This window comes from Homo sapiens, chromosome 16 (genome assembly GCF_000001405.40).
Source record: "Homo sapiens chromosome 16, GRCh38.p14 Primary Assembly".
NCBI lineage: Eukaryota > Metazoa > Chordata > Mammalia > Primates > Hominidae > Homo > Homo sapiens.
In genome coordinates, this window is record NC_000016.10 from 50,768,319 (window position 1) to 50,783,371 (window position 15,053).

Here is a 15,053-nt window from a genome sequence, read left to right on the forward strand (position 1 = left end):
TCATGTCATCATTAGGACTCTTTTCTTGAGGGGAAAAAAAAGTCAAAGTGTCTCCTTTAGTTCCTTAGTTTCTTTTTCTTGCCCAATTACCTTCATCCGTGAAACAAAATTAATATTTACAGCATTTAAAAAAGAAAAAAGATTCTTTTCAGAGCAGTTGAATGGCTGGGAAGCTTAGGAAAGAATTCTTTCTAGTCAATTGCTTGTAATAGTTGGCTTCTGAAGGATACCTTTGATTGAAAGATGCAGGAATCTTAAACCTGTTATAAAATTGTTTCTCTCTTATATTTCTGTTCTAAATGGTTAAAAACACTGCTAACATATCTAATTTGACATTATGTTCATGTTCTTGAAGTTGTTATGATGAAGCATATCAATTAGCACCACCCCAAAATTATACATTTCGGTTTTTCTAGTTCAACCTGTGTCTTCTGTTCTAGTTGTGGGGGTTGGGAGTATAATGCTGTTTTTTTGACGATCTCTACGATCAAGATAGTGAACATATCCATCACCCCAAAATATGTCCCTTGGGATCCCTCCCTCTGCCTCTTCCTGTCCTCTCAACCCCCTACATTCAGACAACCACTGGTCTTCTTTACATCAGTATACACTTGTTCACATTTTTAAGGATTTTACAAAAGTGGAATAACTCAGAATGCATTCTTTTTTGTCTGGCTTATTTCACTCGACATAATTATTTTTTATTCATCCATGTTGTCCTTTTTATTGTTGATATGGTTATATTAGTTTCTATATCCATTCACTTGTTGATGGACACTTGAGTTTTTTTCAGTTTTTGGCTATTATGAATAATGCTGCTATGAAAATTTGTGTACGAATCTTTGTATGGACATATGCCTTCATTTCACTTGGGTACTTACCTAGATGTGGAATGGCTGGTAATATCATAGGTGACTGTTAACTTAAATAAAACCCCCAAACCTTCCAAGCTGTGTTTCCAAAGTGGTTGCATTATTTTACATTCCCAGAAGCAGTATATGAGAGATACAGTTCTTCCATATCTTTGCCAACACTTGGTATGATCAGTTTTTTAAATTTTAGTAACATCTAATTGTGGTTTTACTCTGCGCTTCATTGGTGACCAGTGATATCAAACATCTTTCCATGTGCATATTTGTCATCTGTATATCTTCTTTGGTTTAGTATCTGTGAAAGTCTTTGGCCGATTATTAATTGTTTCTTTATGATTGGGTTTTGAGAGTTATTTATAAATTTTGAATACAAACCCTTTTGCAGATATATGCTTTACAGCATTTCAGATTATTATAGATTCACATGCAGAGAGAGGGACCCTGTGTGCCCTTTAGCCAATTTTTCCCAGCGGTAACATTAACATGTTGTAAAACAAGACGTGTGCAACATCACAACCAGAATGTTGACCCTGATACAATCAAGAAGCAGAACATTCCCATCCCACAAAGATCTCTTATCTTGCCCTTTTACTGCCGCACAAATTCCCTCTTCCTCCTGCCCCATCCTTAACCTCTGACAACCACTCATCTGCTGTCGATTTCTGTAATTCAGTCATTTCAAGAATGTTACATAAATGGAGTTGTACAGTATGTAACCTTTTGAGACTGGCTCTTTTTTCACTGAGCATAATTCTCTGGAGATTTATCTACATTATTTTATATATATCCATGGATTGTTCCTGTTTATTCCTGAGTAATATTCCATATTATGGATGTATCAGTTTGTTTAACTGTTTAGCTGTTGAAGGACATCTGGTTTGTTTCCAGTTTTTGGCTATTATGAATAATGCTTTTATAAATATTTGTGTGTAGTTTCCTGAGTGCACATAAATCTTTATTTCTTGACATAATTGTCCAAGTGCGTATTCGGTGATATTTGCAAATTTAGTTTCTTAAGAAACCGCTAAACTGTTTTCCAGAGTGACTGTACTCTTACTTTACCACTGGCAATATATGGGTAATCTGGTTTCTCTGTATCCTTTCCAGCATTTGATGTTGTCCCTATTTTTAATTTTAGCCATTCAGAGAGATTTGTAGTTGTATTTCACTGTGATTTTGATTTGAATTTACCTGATGGCTGCTGATGTTGAACATCGTTCCGTGTACTCACTGTCATCTGTATATATTCTTTTTCTTTCTTTCTTTTTTTTTTTTTTGAGATGGAGTCTTGCTCTGTTCACCCAGGCTGGAGTATAGTGGCGTGATCTCGGCTCACTGTAACCTCCACCTCCTGGGTTCAAGTGATTCTCCTGCCTCAGCCTCCCAAGTAGCTGGGATTACAGGTGTGCGCCCCCGAGCCCAGCTAATTTTTGTGTTCTTAGTAGAGAGAGGGTTTCACCATGTTGGCCAGGCTGGTCTCGAACTCCTGACCTCAAGTGATCCACCTGCCTCGGCTTCCCAAAGTGCTGGGATTACAGGCATGAGCCCCTGCACCCAGCCTTCGTATATATTCTTGAGTGAAAGGTGTCCTCATCTCTTTTGCCCAGGTTCTCATTGGATCCTGTGCTTTTTTACTGTTGAGTTTTGAGAAGTCTTTATGTATTCTAGATACTAATTCTTTGTTCAATATATGGTTTGCACATTTTATTTCCCAATGTGTAGCTTGTCTTTTCATCCTCTTAATAGGGTCTTTCACAGAGTACAAGATTTTTATTTTTATGAAGTCCAATTTATAGTTTTTCTTGTGTGGGTCAAGCTTTTGTGTCAAGTTCGACAACTTTTGTTTAGCTCTACATATGGAAGATTTTCTCCTAAGTTTTTAAAAATTGAAATGTAATATGTTGTGCAACCCTCACCACTATCCAGTTCCAGAACATTTTCATGGGAACCCAGTACCCATTAAGCAGTTACTTCCCATTGTCTCTTACCCTGAGACCCTGACAACCACTGATCTGCTTTCTATCTCTACAGATTTGCCTATTCTGGACATTTCACATAAATAGAATAAAAGATATGTGGCTTTTGTGTCTGGCTTCTTCAGTTAAGCATAATCTTTTCAAGGTTCATCCGTATGATAGCAAAATCAGTACTCTAACCTTCTTTATGGTTGAATAATATTCCAATAAATGGATCTGCCGTATTTTGTTTAGCCATTTTTCAGTCGATGGACGTCAGTTTCTAGTTTTTGACTATTATTAAAAATGCTGCTGTGAACATTCATATACAAGTTATTCTGTGGACATCTGTTTTCAGTTCTGTTGGGTACTCCCTAGGAGTAGAATTGCTGGGTCATGTGGTGACTGTGTGTTTAGTCATTTGTGGAACTGCCAAATGGTTTTCTGAAGGAGCTGCACCATTTACTTTTCCAGCCACAATGTATGAGGGTTCTAATTTCTTTGCATCCTTGTTCTCTGTTTTCCAAAAAGTTTCATAGATTTACTTTTTACATTTAAGTCTATAATCTATTTTGAGTTAATTTGGTATAAGTTGTGAGACTTAAGTAGAATTTTTTTTTAAAAAATCTATGGATATCTAATTGTTCCATCACTATTTGTTGAAAAGACTCTTTCTTCCATTGAATTATTTTTCTACCTTTGTCAAAATTCAGTTGGGTATATTTATGTGGGTCTATTTCTTGGTTCTCCATTCTGTTCCATTGATCTGTGTGTCTGTCCTACTGCCCATACCACAGTCTCGATCACTGCGGCTAACTAGTAAGTCTTGCAATCTATTAAACTAATTCCTCCTACTTTATTCTTTTCCAAAATTATTTTAGTTATTCTAGATCTTTTGCCTTTCCATATGCATTTTAGAGTAATCTTGTGTACATCTATACAAAATCTTCTTGAGATTTTGATAGGAATTACATTAAACCTGTATATAACTTTGGGGAGAATTGATATCCTTTGGCTAGAGAGAGCAAAACTTTGGTTGGGGCCTTCTTTTGTCTATGCCTATTGATGTTTCCAGGGTGCTGATTTTTTTATCTCTAAGTATGGGATAAGAATGTAGTCAAGAAGAAAACCCAGAGGGAAATCTCTGTGATGTTATTTCTTAGGTCTTGAGGTTCCTAGCTGGTCTACCTTCTCATCTCTACCTTTCAAAGTCTTCTTATATTTGTTTTATATATTATGTCTAGAGATTTTAGTTGTACTTAGCAAAAGAAATAGGAAGTACATCTACTTTATCTTCCCAGAAGTAGAAGTTGCACCTTCCTTTTTAACTTAACAATAGATATTAGAGATTATTTCATATTAGTACATAAGTTGTATACTTGGTCTTTTGTTTAAATCATTGAATTATATTTCATTTTATGCATGTACCATAATTTTTGAACCAGCCTCCTACTGATGAGCATTTAGGTTGTTTTCAATCTTTTGCTGTTATAAACAGTGCTTCAGTGAATAACTTTGTATCTGTGTATCAGTTAGCATGTGTGCCAGTATAAAAAGATAACTTCCTAGGAGTAGAATTGCTATGCATTTTACATTTTGATAGACAGTAATACATGGCTTTCATAGAGATTGCTTGTCAATCGGAGTCACCATGAATGTTGCCTGTATAGGCAGTACTCCTGGTCCTATGAGACAGTTAGAGCTGGAGCCCTGAAGAAGGATAATTTGAAGCACCAGATATCAGCATGCAACTTTTGGTGTTATCTATATGGCACCTTCAAGCATTTCTTGAAGAATTTTTCATATACTATTATGGAAAATATTTATTCTGAGCAGGAACCCAACCTTTTAGAGATTTTTGAATAGTTGCTATGTAGGATATTTCTGGCATCGGGTTTAATAATACCTCATTCTACTCAAGTAAACTGTATTTTCTTCACAAGATTTCTGTGGATGTTAAATTCTCATTTGAGTCTGAATTATGCTCTTGTGGCTGCTGATGTTAAGCGGTACATTAATTAAACAATTTCTCTTAATTTACTGGGTCATTCAAATTCATAGACATTTCATTTGATTTGAACAATAACTTGTTCACTAGTTTATTGTTATGATTTCCTGCTCAAGATTCTCCAAGGGATTTTTCTTTTTCTGGTTAAATCAACAAGTGATGGATAAGCTGTGAATTTTATCATTTAAATGCAATCTTGCTGTGTATACATAATGGATACTTTTGGTTTGGTTTCTTTTGCTGAACACAATGTCCATGTTGCCCTGTTTATCAGTAGTTTGTTCCTTTTTTATTGCTATGTAGTATTCCATTGTATGAATAGACCATAATTTGTTTCTCTATTCTTCTGTAGAATAGCTTGTTTCCAGCTTTTGATTAGAATGAATAGGGCTGCTCTGTACATTTTTACTCATGCTGTTTGGTGGAATTATCTTCTATATCTTTTAATATCTTTAATCAGGTTTGTTTTAATCACACAAAATTGCCAGCTGAATTTATCTTACCTTGCTTTCCATCCCATATTTATCTTTTTCTGAGTTGGTAATCACTTATAATTCATTTAACTTTGAAAGCTTTGCTTCATGACCCAAGTAGTTTTGGGCCATGAACACAGTTGTGACAAAGTAATAAGAAATATTTGGTGTGTAATTGCTGGAGGGCAATTAGAGGTGGTTTGTGCCCCTTTGTCTGTATAGAATTCTGATGGAATGTCTTCTTCTTCAGAGCTGATATTTGACCCCCTCTCAGACAGCCTTTGACAGAAGGTAGCCACAGTTTCCAACTCCAGTGCCCCCCTGCTCACATTCCTAATCTTTGGAGCTCCTCCCTAGTGTCACCTGCAGAACTGTCACCACCGGCCATCCAGTTGGCTCTCCAGTCCTGCCAGGCTACCTTCAAAGCCTAACAAAGGGAAGAGCACTTGCTTCATTTGTTATAATGGTTACTAACTATATAATGGATCTATATCGTGGTATACATGTGAACATACTTTAAAAATGTTATATGCAGTTAATTACAGTTAATAGTGGGAGTTGTTTTTCTTTAGGAAATTTATATGCTATAATTTAGGAACTCTTCTCAGTGACTAAGATTTTCCTTCTGAAGTATCTGTCATGGGTGCTATTTAAAGATATCTGAATGACAACATCATAAAAGAACAGTGGTCTCCTCTTTCATCAAGGGATACTTCCAAGACCCCCAGTGGATACCTGAAACTATGGATAGTACTGAACCCTACGTATACTGTGTTTTTCCTCTACATTCATGCCTCTGATAAAGTTTAATTTATATATTAGGCACAATAAGATATTGAAAACAATAATCAGAGAAGAGACAATAATAACAATATGGCAACATCACTACTCGTGTACTTCAGGACTATTATTAAGTAAAATAAGGGTGACTTGAATGTAAGCACTGTGATACTGCAATAGTTGATCTGATGACTGAGGTGGCTACTAAGTGACTAACAAGGCAGGGAGTAGACACAGTGTGGAGATGCTGGACGGGGATGGGTTACGTCAGGGGTTATGGATTAGGATGGTGCAAGATTTCGTTATAATACTCAAAACAGCATGCAACTTAAAACTTACGAATTGTCTGTTTCTGCAATTTTTTATTTAATATTTTTGGACAGTGGTTGACTGTGGGTAACTGATACCGTGGAAGGTAAAAGTGTGGATAAGTGGGGACCACAGTATTAGTACATAGCTTTTCTCTTATTATATCACTTGATCGAAATCGTGGTTAATTGGTATAATTTTTGAATTAAAATATTTTCATATTCTATTGGATCATATTATGAGATGTTTAAGATATAGTTTAATAACACATCCCCCTCCTCTTTCAACCATGGAAAAAAGTTACCAAGTATTTACATATAATTCATTTAGTAAATTTCCTCTTTTTTTAAGAAAAGTCTTTTCCTTGTGTTTAAAATGTAAAAATTTTCCTATTTCTTTCTTTCTGTCCTCAAATCCACTGTGGGTGATATCGTTTTTGCTGACACACAGCTTTATCAGGTATGACTCCTAAGTGTCGTGTTGGACTCCACGGATGTATTGTTGAATTTTTCAAAGGAAGAACTTTTCACACTGCCTCTTCTACATTCCCTTGATCAGTATTTAGGAGTATTCTATGATCATTGCTGGGCTTTAAGGTCTAGAGTGGTCTTTGTATTCAAAACAAGTTTGCCACACTTATTACACCTATATTTCAGAAATAATTGTGAGTGTTTTCTTCAAATATATTATTGTTGTGTGTCTCTGGCTTTCTGTATTTTTAATCTATGCATAATTCTCTATGTTTTCCTCTTTTATATGTATAAGTGTTTGTATACACATCTGTGTTATTCTTAACATATATGTTTTTAAAAACAGATATATGTTCTTAACCAGAACTTTCTTTCCTAACCATGATACATATTCCTAACCAGGCTTTTTTCAAACTGTGTTCATGAAATAATATTAATCTGAGATGCTAAGCAAAGTGGCACAAAAATTTTTATCAATAAGTTTATTTTGTTTCTCCCTGAGCAGTTCACAATGCACATTAGCATATTAAAGGCTCTGGTTCCGTGCAGTAAAGAAATTGTTTATCTTTGTTTATCTCAGCATCTTCAAGAAATATTTGAGTTCGAAACACTTCATAATACACAGGGGTGTTCTAAGCCTGCTGATTTGGGAAATGCTGTAAAAAACCGAGTAAGATTTTCTTTGTAGTGTTTTAAGAGATCAAATAAAATTGACTACAAGTGATTAAATTTTCAAGAGGTTAAAGCATTTAGCTGAATTGTATTTTGAGAGGGTATTTTCTTATAGAAATTACATTTTGAAATACAGCATTGGTTTTTTCCCCCATAGTATTATCTTTTTCAATACTTTTGATGGCCTTTAAAAGGCATTTGTAAAACTAAAAATTCTGCCTTTTTGTGGAAAGAGGGTTTTTTTATTTTGTTACTGTCATTCCTTGTTTCTCTTCTATAAGAATTTGCCTTTATCTTTAAAAAACATGCTTACTGTTTCAGAGAGTGTGACGCAGGAAAGGAGGCCTCCCAAACTTGCCTTTATGTCAAGAGGTGTTGGGGACAAAGGTTCATCCAGTCATAATAAACCAAAGGCTACAGGTATGGATTAATAGCATATAACCTTTAGTAATTTGCATAATGCCTAACTTGCCATAGCATTAAAAAAGATTATAAGCTATTACTTCTGAACATGTATGTAGACTTTTTTTCTTTCAAACATTTTTAGTAGTGAAACTAAAGTTTGTATATAAATACTGTTGCTTAAGCCAAGTGTTCCCAGCCTTTTTTACCTCAGGAAGAGTTCCCCATAGGGTCTTGTGTGTTTTGCTGGTCTATAATCAAATGGTTTTTGGAACTCCTTACTTGGAATATTTGTATGTATAGTTTAGGATTGCAACTGTGTAAAATAATCCTATATGGATAATGTTATATAGGATAAAGTATACTAGAGGTTAATTAAATGGATTTTGCTAACTAGATTTGGTACAAATTAAATCCCAAACTGCTAAGCAAAAATTTCTTCTCTTTCCCAGAAGCTTCCTCACAATATGTGTGGAGCTTACAGCTCTTTTTTTTGTTAGCTTCCACATACTTCATAGATTTATAGAATAGTAGTTATACAAGCCAAAGAGCTCATTAAAAAGGCTCTGAGAATTTTTGTTAACTCAGATGCGAGTTAGGAAAAGAATATTTTTTCCTCAATTATTACAATTTTGGCTCATTTAAAAGGAAATTGTACTTTAAGAATTATTTTATGTGACATTGGGGCCTGGGAGACTTAGGATTAATTGCAGGATATATAGGTAACAGTCTTTTTTATGTTAACCTATAGATCTATATAGGATAGCTCAAACTTGCTACTCTCACTTAAATAGAAACAGACTAAAGATTTTCTTAAGCTATGGCATGTTAATTGTATTGTAGTAGATCTTAAAGTTATAAAATGTACAGCTACCTGCTTTAATTTGAAAAGGGAAATCAGCTTTTTTGTGGGTTCTGGAGAGCCCACTGCCCTCCACTGTGTGTGGTATGTCCTTGAATTAATACTGAGGCAGGGTAATGTCATGAAATGGCTGTGGCATAGCTACACTCGCCCTCTCACGTATAATAAATCCAATCTGTAAGAAATAATAGTGCTTGATTTTTTCAAAGACACAAGGAATTTGATGACCAAAAATTCCAAAATGTTTAAAACTTAACTATTTTTAAATGTAATTTGTGTATTGATTTATATATAGAATTTGAGGATTACCTTCTTTTAAAATAATAGGTTAAATTTGTGAACCAATGGGTCTATGAAATGAAGCTGGAGAATGGTGATTTTGACATTTAGAAATAAGCTGTGGTACATGGAACAATTTCTTAAAGCAGTTCATTTTTTTTAAAAATGAGTGGGCTTTTCTTTTAACTTACTCCTGTTTCCCTCCTATCTTGACTTTTGGGCTGAAAAATATTTTTAATATTGTCAAAATGGTTACCAAATTTTTAAAAGCTGAAGACAGTTAAAAAACATATTGTGTTTATATACATTTATTGGTTATGTAAACAGTTATTAACATCATATTCATAATAATTTCTCTTACTAAAAAAAAACTTTGATGCTATATTGACTTTATTTTTAAATGAAACTTTTCTTGTTCCTATAGGATCTACCTCAGACCCTGGAAATAGAAACAGATCTGAATTATTTTATACCTTAAATGGGTCTTCTGTTGACTCACAACCACAATCCAAATCAAAAAATACATGGTACATTGATGAAGGTAATCAGTAATTTTAGTGTTCTTTATAATGATCCTTTCTTTCTAACTCATCAGAGAAAAATGGTTTTTTATATCAATATTTGTAGTTTTTGGAAACAGAATAAGTAGACCGCTCTTTGTAATATTGCTGAACTAAAATATTGTACACAGTTTGAACCGTACTGCTGTTAAGATTATTAAAATGTTTAAGAAATGTATTAGTAATTTGTTCTTTTCCTTTAACTGCTGATCTATTTAGGGTGGAAGATTTCTGTCTGGTTCCTTCCTGACCTCTTTAAAGCACTCCCTTTTAAAAAATTTTATCTTCCCTTGGTCCTGGGACATCATTTTCACCTAGTTTATTCTCTTCTTTGTTCATTTGTTCAACAAATATTTATTGAGTGCTTATGATTGCCAGGCATTCTTTTAGGCATCAAGATGAAAATGGTGAGAAAAAATAGACATGGTTCATGCCCTTTGTGAGTTTGCAGTTGTTAAGTTGTTGAGATAGAAATTAGTCAAACAACCACAGACACAGTAGAGTTGCCTTGGTGGTGTGTGCAGTGAAGGTGCATGATGCTGTGAGAATACACCAAAGATGATTTTTCTCAGGGTCTTAGGGGTGTTTCTTTGGGGCAGTGACACATGCTTAGGTTTACCAGAGGAGTGACAGATGACAAAGTGAAAGGGGCTAGAACTTCCTCGGGAGAAGAAATAGCATAGGGAAAGTCCTCCTGGAAGAATGGAAGCTAGTGTTTGCCAGGGACTAGAACACAGACAGAGGCATGACATTCATGAGATGAGAATGGAAAGGCAAACAGGCCTGACTCTGTGGTCTCCCAGCCTTTAGAGTTTTGCCTGCCACATTTGTTTTTAAGGCACCTGGAGCTGATTTTCATGTAAAGTATGAGTAGGATTCCTGTTTAATTTTTTTTTAAAAATATGGATAACCAATTATCTCAACAGCATTTAGTAAGAAGTTCATTCTTTTGTCATTGATCTGCAATACCTGCCTGTCAGCTGTATTAGTCATTTTAAGAAAATAGCTTTTGGCTGTGGCTCTCTTTATCATGTGTTTGGTTTCTCTTAAATTACATTCTGTGTTTGTGTTTATTCTGGCTTTGAACTTCTTATTGTATGTTTGTTTTCTCTCTTCTGTTGTTTCTGTTCTTTAGTTTATTCTTCTCTACTTTTTTGAGGGTTATTCTGTTCTTTTAACTTCCCAAGTTGTATGCTGAGTTCATATTTAGCTTTTGTTTTTTTCTGAAATAAGCAATGAAGTCTATAAAATTCCCTTATAAGTATTAATTTAGCCATGTTTCACAAGGATTCTTTCTTTCTTTGTTACTTTTTCTCTCTTTTTTCTTTATTGTTAAAACGTATTATTTCTTTTTTGATCCATTAGATATATAGAAGCGTTTCTTAAGGTTTTCGGTATCTTTTTGTACTGCCTTCTCAATTAATTGTATTTTGGACAAAGACTATCACGTATACGATACCCGCTGATAATAGATTTTTTTGGTTTGAACAGTTGGGTGCCATTGACTGAGGTGCATAAATATGGAGGTGGAGAGAGGAGCGAGAACACTGTTGGAGATAATAACTTTGTGATGCCTATGAGAGTACTATTAATAGCAGGGAGGTCAGGTGGGCAGTTGGACTAGATCTGTATATAAATTTTTAGAAATGTAAGACAGAGTCAATATCCTTGAATACATTTCTGTAATTAGGAATAATTTTTTAGTTGCAGAAGACCCTGCAAAATCTCTTACAGAGATATCTACAGACTTTGACCGTTCTTCACCACCACTCCAGCCTCCTCCTGTGAACTCACTGACCACCGAGAACAGATTCCACTCTTTACCATTCAGTCTCACCAAGATGCCCAATACCAATGGAAGTATTGGCCACAGTCCACTTTCTCTGTCAGCCCAGTCTGTAATGGAAGAGCTAAACACTGCACCCGTCCAAGAGAGTCCACCCTTGGCCATGCCTCCTGGGAACTCACATGGTCTAGAAGTGGGCTCATTGGCTGAAGTTAAGGAGAACCCTCCTTTCTATGGGGTAATCCGTTGGATCGGTCAGCCACCAGGACTGAATGAAGTGCTCGCTGGACTGGAACTGGTAATTTAACTTGACCCAAAAATTTCAATTTTTTTCTCTGTGAGGTTTTGTGCAGATTTCGCCCTATTATATGCTTTTTGACAAACTGTTATATTTGTCAGAAAAGCTATCACTGCAGAATAATTTTCTCACCATGTTTTCTGACTTCCCTTTGCCGCCCCTGAAGCTTGCGACCCACTTGTCCTAATGTTAGTTGATTTATGTTCAAGGAATGAAAGTTGATTTTTAGGCCAATCGATTTAGGCTCCTTATATTAAACAGAATTTAGTAAATCAAGCAAATTTGCCATCAGCTTTTCTCTTTCTTCTTCAGCCCCTTCCCCTGGTCAGTTCTAATAATTATATCACTGGCTTTAAAGTTAATCACCATTTTTAGAGATCTTTTGAGACCTTTGCTAGAGGGAAAGGTTTTCCCTTTAGAGATCAGGAGAACATATCATTTGATATTTTGTAATCAGGAAAGGAGAAGTTGAGTATGTTTAGGATTTATTTAGAGATGGGGTCTCACTCTGTCACCCAGACTGGAGTGCAGTAGCACGGTCAGGGCTCACTGCAGCCTCGACCTCCTGGGCTCAAGCTATTCTCCTGCCTCAGTCACCTGAGTAGCTGGAATTACAGACATGTACCATCATGCTTGGTAATTTTTTGTATTTTTAGTAGAGACAGGGTTTTGCCATGTTGCCCAGGCTGGTCTCAAACTCCTGGACTCAAGTGATCTGCCCGCCTTGGCCTCCTAAAGTGCTAGGATTATGGGCATGAGCCACCACACCTGGCCAATTTAAATATATTTCTTTTTTTTTTTTTCTTGTTTGTTTCCATGCTAGTGAATACTATCTTATGGGGCATGGTGGGGAGGCAAGAATGAGGGTTAAAATAAATAGCCTTCTCCTTCCCTGCCTGTTTTAATGCTTGTAGAAATGGTGCGGGAAAGCCCGTTTAACCAGGGGAGGTTGAAGCATATATTCTGAAAGGAAATACAAGAAGGACTTCATGCTGGATTAAGGAAGTCACTTCTTAAATCAGTAGCTGTGGGCTGAAGCACTGATTACTCAACTCCTTTTTCTTGATGAGGTTCTCAGTACAGGTGCGAAGAGGGAGTGGTGAGAAAGGGTATACTAGAAACAGGTCTTAGAAACCTTAGTTCTTTGTATACTATCTCTGTAAGGCACGGTATAATGCATATTGAAGCATTTCTTTTTCAGGAAGATGAGTGTGCAGGCTGTACGGATGGAACCTTCAGAGGCACTCGGTATTTCACCTGTGCCCTGAAGAAGGCGCTGTTTGTGAAACTGAAGAGCTGCAGGCCTGACTCTAGGTTTGCATCATTGCAGCCGGTTTCCAATCAGATTGAGCGCTGTAACTCTTTAGGTATTTGGATGCTTTTTGTTTACTTAACAACCTGGAATGACTCTAATTCTAATCTCATATCATGTTATATTAGGTGATGGTGACAGTGTTTTAATATATTTCTTGCCAACGCTCATTAAGCTTTAAATCAGTAAAAATGTTGCATGGTGTATAAGAAAGTTGTTTTAAGAGGGGACATCTTAAAAAAGTATTAGGACGTGCGTTTGGGACTTATAAAGTGAATAATAGTGTGGTTTGTTTTTCTCTTCCTGTTGATGACAGACATTTAGTTTTCAGCAATACTAGTGGTAGAAATTGAAATGTAACCTTCTTTTTTTTTTTTACTGACTTCCCTCACAGTGTCTTGTTTACAGCAGTGAGTGTATCTTACAAAGAAATCAGCATTTTAGTGTAAGAAGTAGATTTCAACTGATTGCTGGAGGACAGCTCTCCTCATCATGTGTAATTGGTGGCAGTTTCCTGGTGCTGTTCCTTTCCACTTCTACATAATAGTGGAAAAGCATCTTGGGGCTTCAGCAGGTGCAAACAGGAAAGCCATCTTTATGAAAAACACTCTTATTATGTTGAAATAGTACTTTGGAATTTTCATTTTCTTTTCAAACTTGAAAGTGAAGCAACTTCAGATAAATAGTGAAATATTTGGGAAACATATTTTACTTGACAGATGCTTTTTACACATAATACTCTAAAGTGTGTTTTTAAATCTTGGAGGAAATGAAGTTGAAAATGAACAATAGCAATTTTTATAAGCCAAGTCAAATAGCAGTTAACCAAAGCCTACTTTCCACTTAAAGAAAAAATTTTGCATCAAAATACAAAAACATTTTAAAATGAAAAAATATTTATGGGAATACATATTGTAATAGTTTAAAAGAATTCTTTTCATTTACTTTTTTTAAAAAAATCTTTTCAGCATTTGGAGGCTACTTAAGTGAAGTAGTAGAAGAAAATACTCCACCAAAAATGGAAAAAGAAGGCTTGGAGATAATGATTGGGAAGAAGAAAGGCATCCAGGGTCATTACAATTCTTGTTACTTAGACTCAACCTTATTCTGGTAAGTTTAAAAAGAATGCAATAGGTATAGATAGTGCCATGAGGCAGGGACACATACCGGTGTGTGTGTGTGTGTGCGTGTGAGTGTGTGTGAAAGAAACTGCCATCTGCCTCTGAGTAGAGAAACTGGATGACTGTGGGTCAGGATTGAAAGGGAGATTTGCTTTTTATGACATACTCCTTTTAAGCTTTTGAATGTTGTCTCATGTTTCTGTGTCCAGAAAGGTGAATGATATTGGTACAATGGAATAGATATACAGAGGGTATCTGGGAAATCTTTGTGCATGTCTCAAACAACATAACTTGCAGTAAAGCCATTGGCTGTTATGTGCTGTATTTCTTTTAGTAGGTAAAGGCAGTCATAAAACTACTGTCTTTAAAAAAACGATTTTCAGTAGCAGCACTGCTGCCCTCATATATGCAATTTTTTCCAAAGTGGAACAACTTAAGATTTTTTTTTTTTTTTTTTTTTTTTTTGAGACAGAGTCTCACTCTGTCCCCCAGGCTGGAATGCAGCGGCACAATCTGGGCTCATTGCAACCTCTGCCTCCCAGGTTCAAGCGATTCTCTTGACTCAGCCTCCTGAGTAGCTGGGATTACAGGTGTGAACCACCACTTCTGGCTAACTTTCTTTTTTGTATTTTCAGTAGAGACGGGGGTTTCACCACGTTGGCCAGGCTGGTCTCGAACGTCTCACCTCAAATGATCTACCCGCCTTGGCCTCCCAAAGTGCTTGGGATTACGGGCATGAGCCACCACGCCCAGCCTTAACATTGCAAGGATCTTTAAGCTCTGGAAATTGAACCAAGAATCTTTAGGCTCTGAGGATTGTAGACTGGGCTAAATTGAGAGTAGCCTGCCAGTTCTGTAGCCATATGATAAGAATTAGGAAGTTAATATGGGATG

General features: G+C 35.9%; 1 protein-coding gene across 26 annotated transcripts in view, besides 1 other annotated feature; it reads left to right on the forward strand.

The window, feature by feature from the left end:
* CYLD (CYLD lysine 63 deubiquitinase) overlaps window positions 1-15,053 on the forward strand; it is a 59,850-nt gene that overhangs the window by 26,233 nt on the left and 18,564 nt on the right. For 16 of the 26 annotated variants that reach the window (XR_007064858.1, XM_047433656.1, NM_001378745.1 and 13 more), the window contains 5 exons: window positions 7,861-7,959; window positions 9,507-9,623; window positions 11,347-11,726; window positions 12,928-13,093; window positions 14,007-14,148. Coding sequence is in view for 24 of the 26 variants with exons in the window: in XM_047433656.1 (XP_047289612.1) it covers window positions 7,861-7,959; window positions 9,507-9,623; window positions 11,347-11,726; window positions 12,928-13,093; window positions 14,007-14,148 (904 nt within the window). In the remaining 2 variants the exon portion in view is untranslated. Of the gene's footprint in view, window positions 1-6,847; window positions 6,857-7,860; window positions 7,960-9,506; window positions 9,624-11,346; window positions 11,727-12,927; window positions 13,094-14,006; window positions 14,149-15,053 lie in introns of those variants that run through there. The other 10 variants (XM_047433661.1, NM_001378753.1, NM_001378751.1 and 7 more) reach the window with 4 other exon arrangements.
* Window positions 10,128-10,287: a silencer, noted in NCBI's record as "silent region_7492". NCBI's record gives its function as "represses an Ori minimal core promoter by ATAC-STARR-seq in GM12878 lymphoblastoid cells {active_cell/tissue: GM12878}" and the evidence as "EXISTENCE:reporter gene assay evidence [ECO:0000049][PMID:35858748]".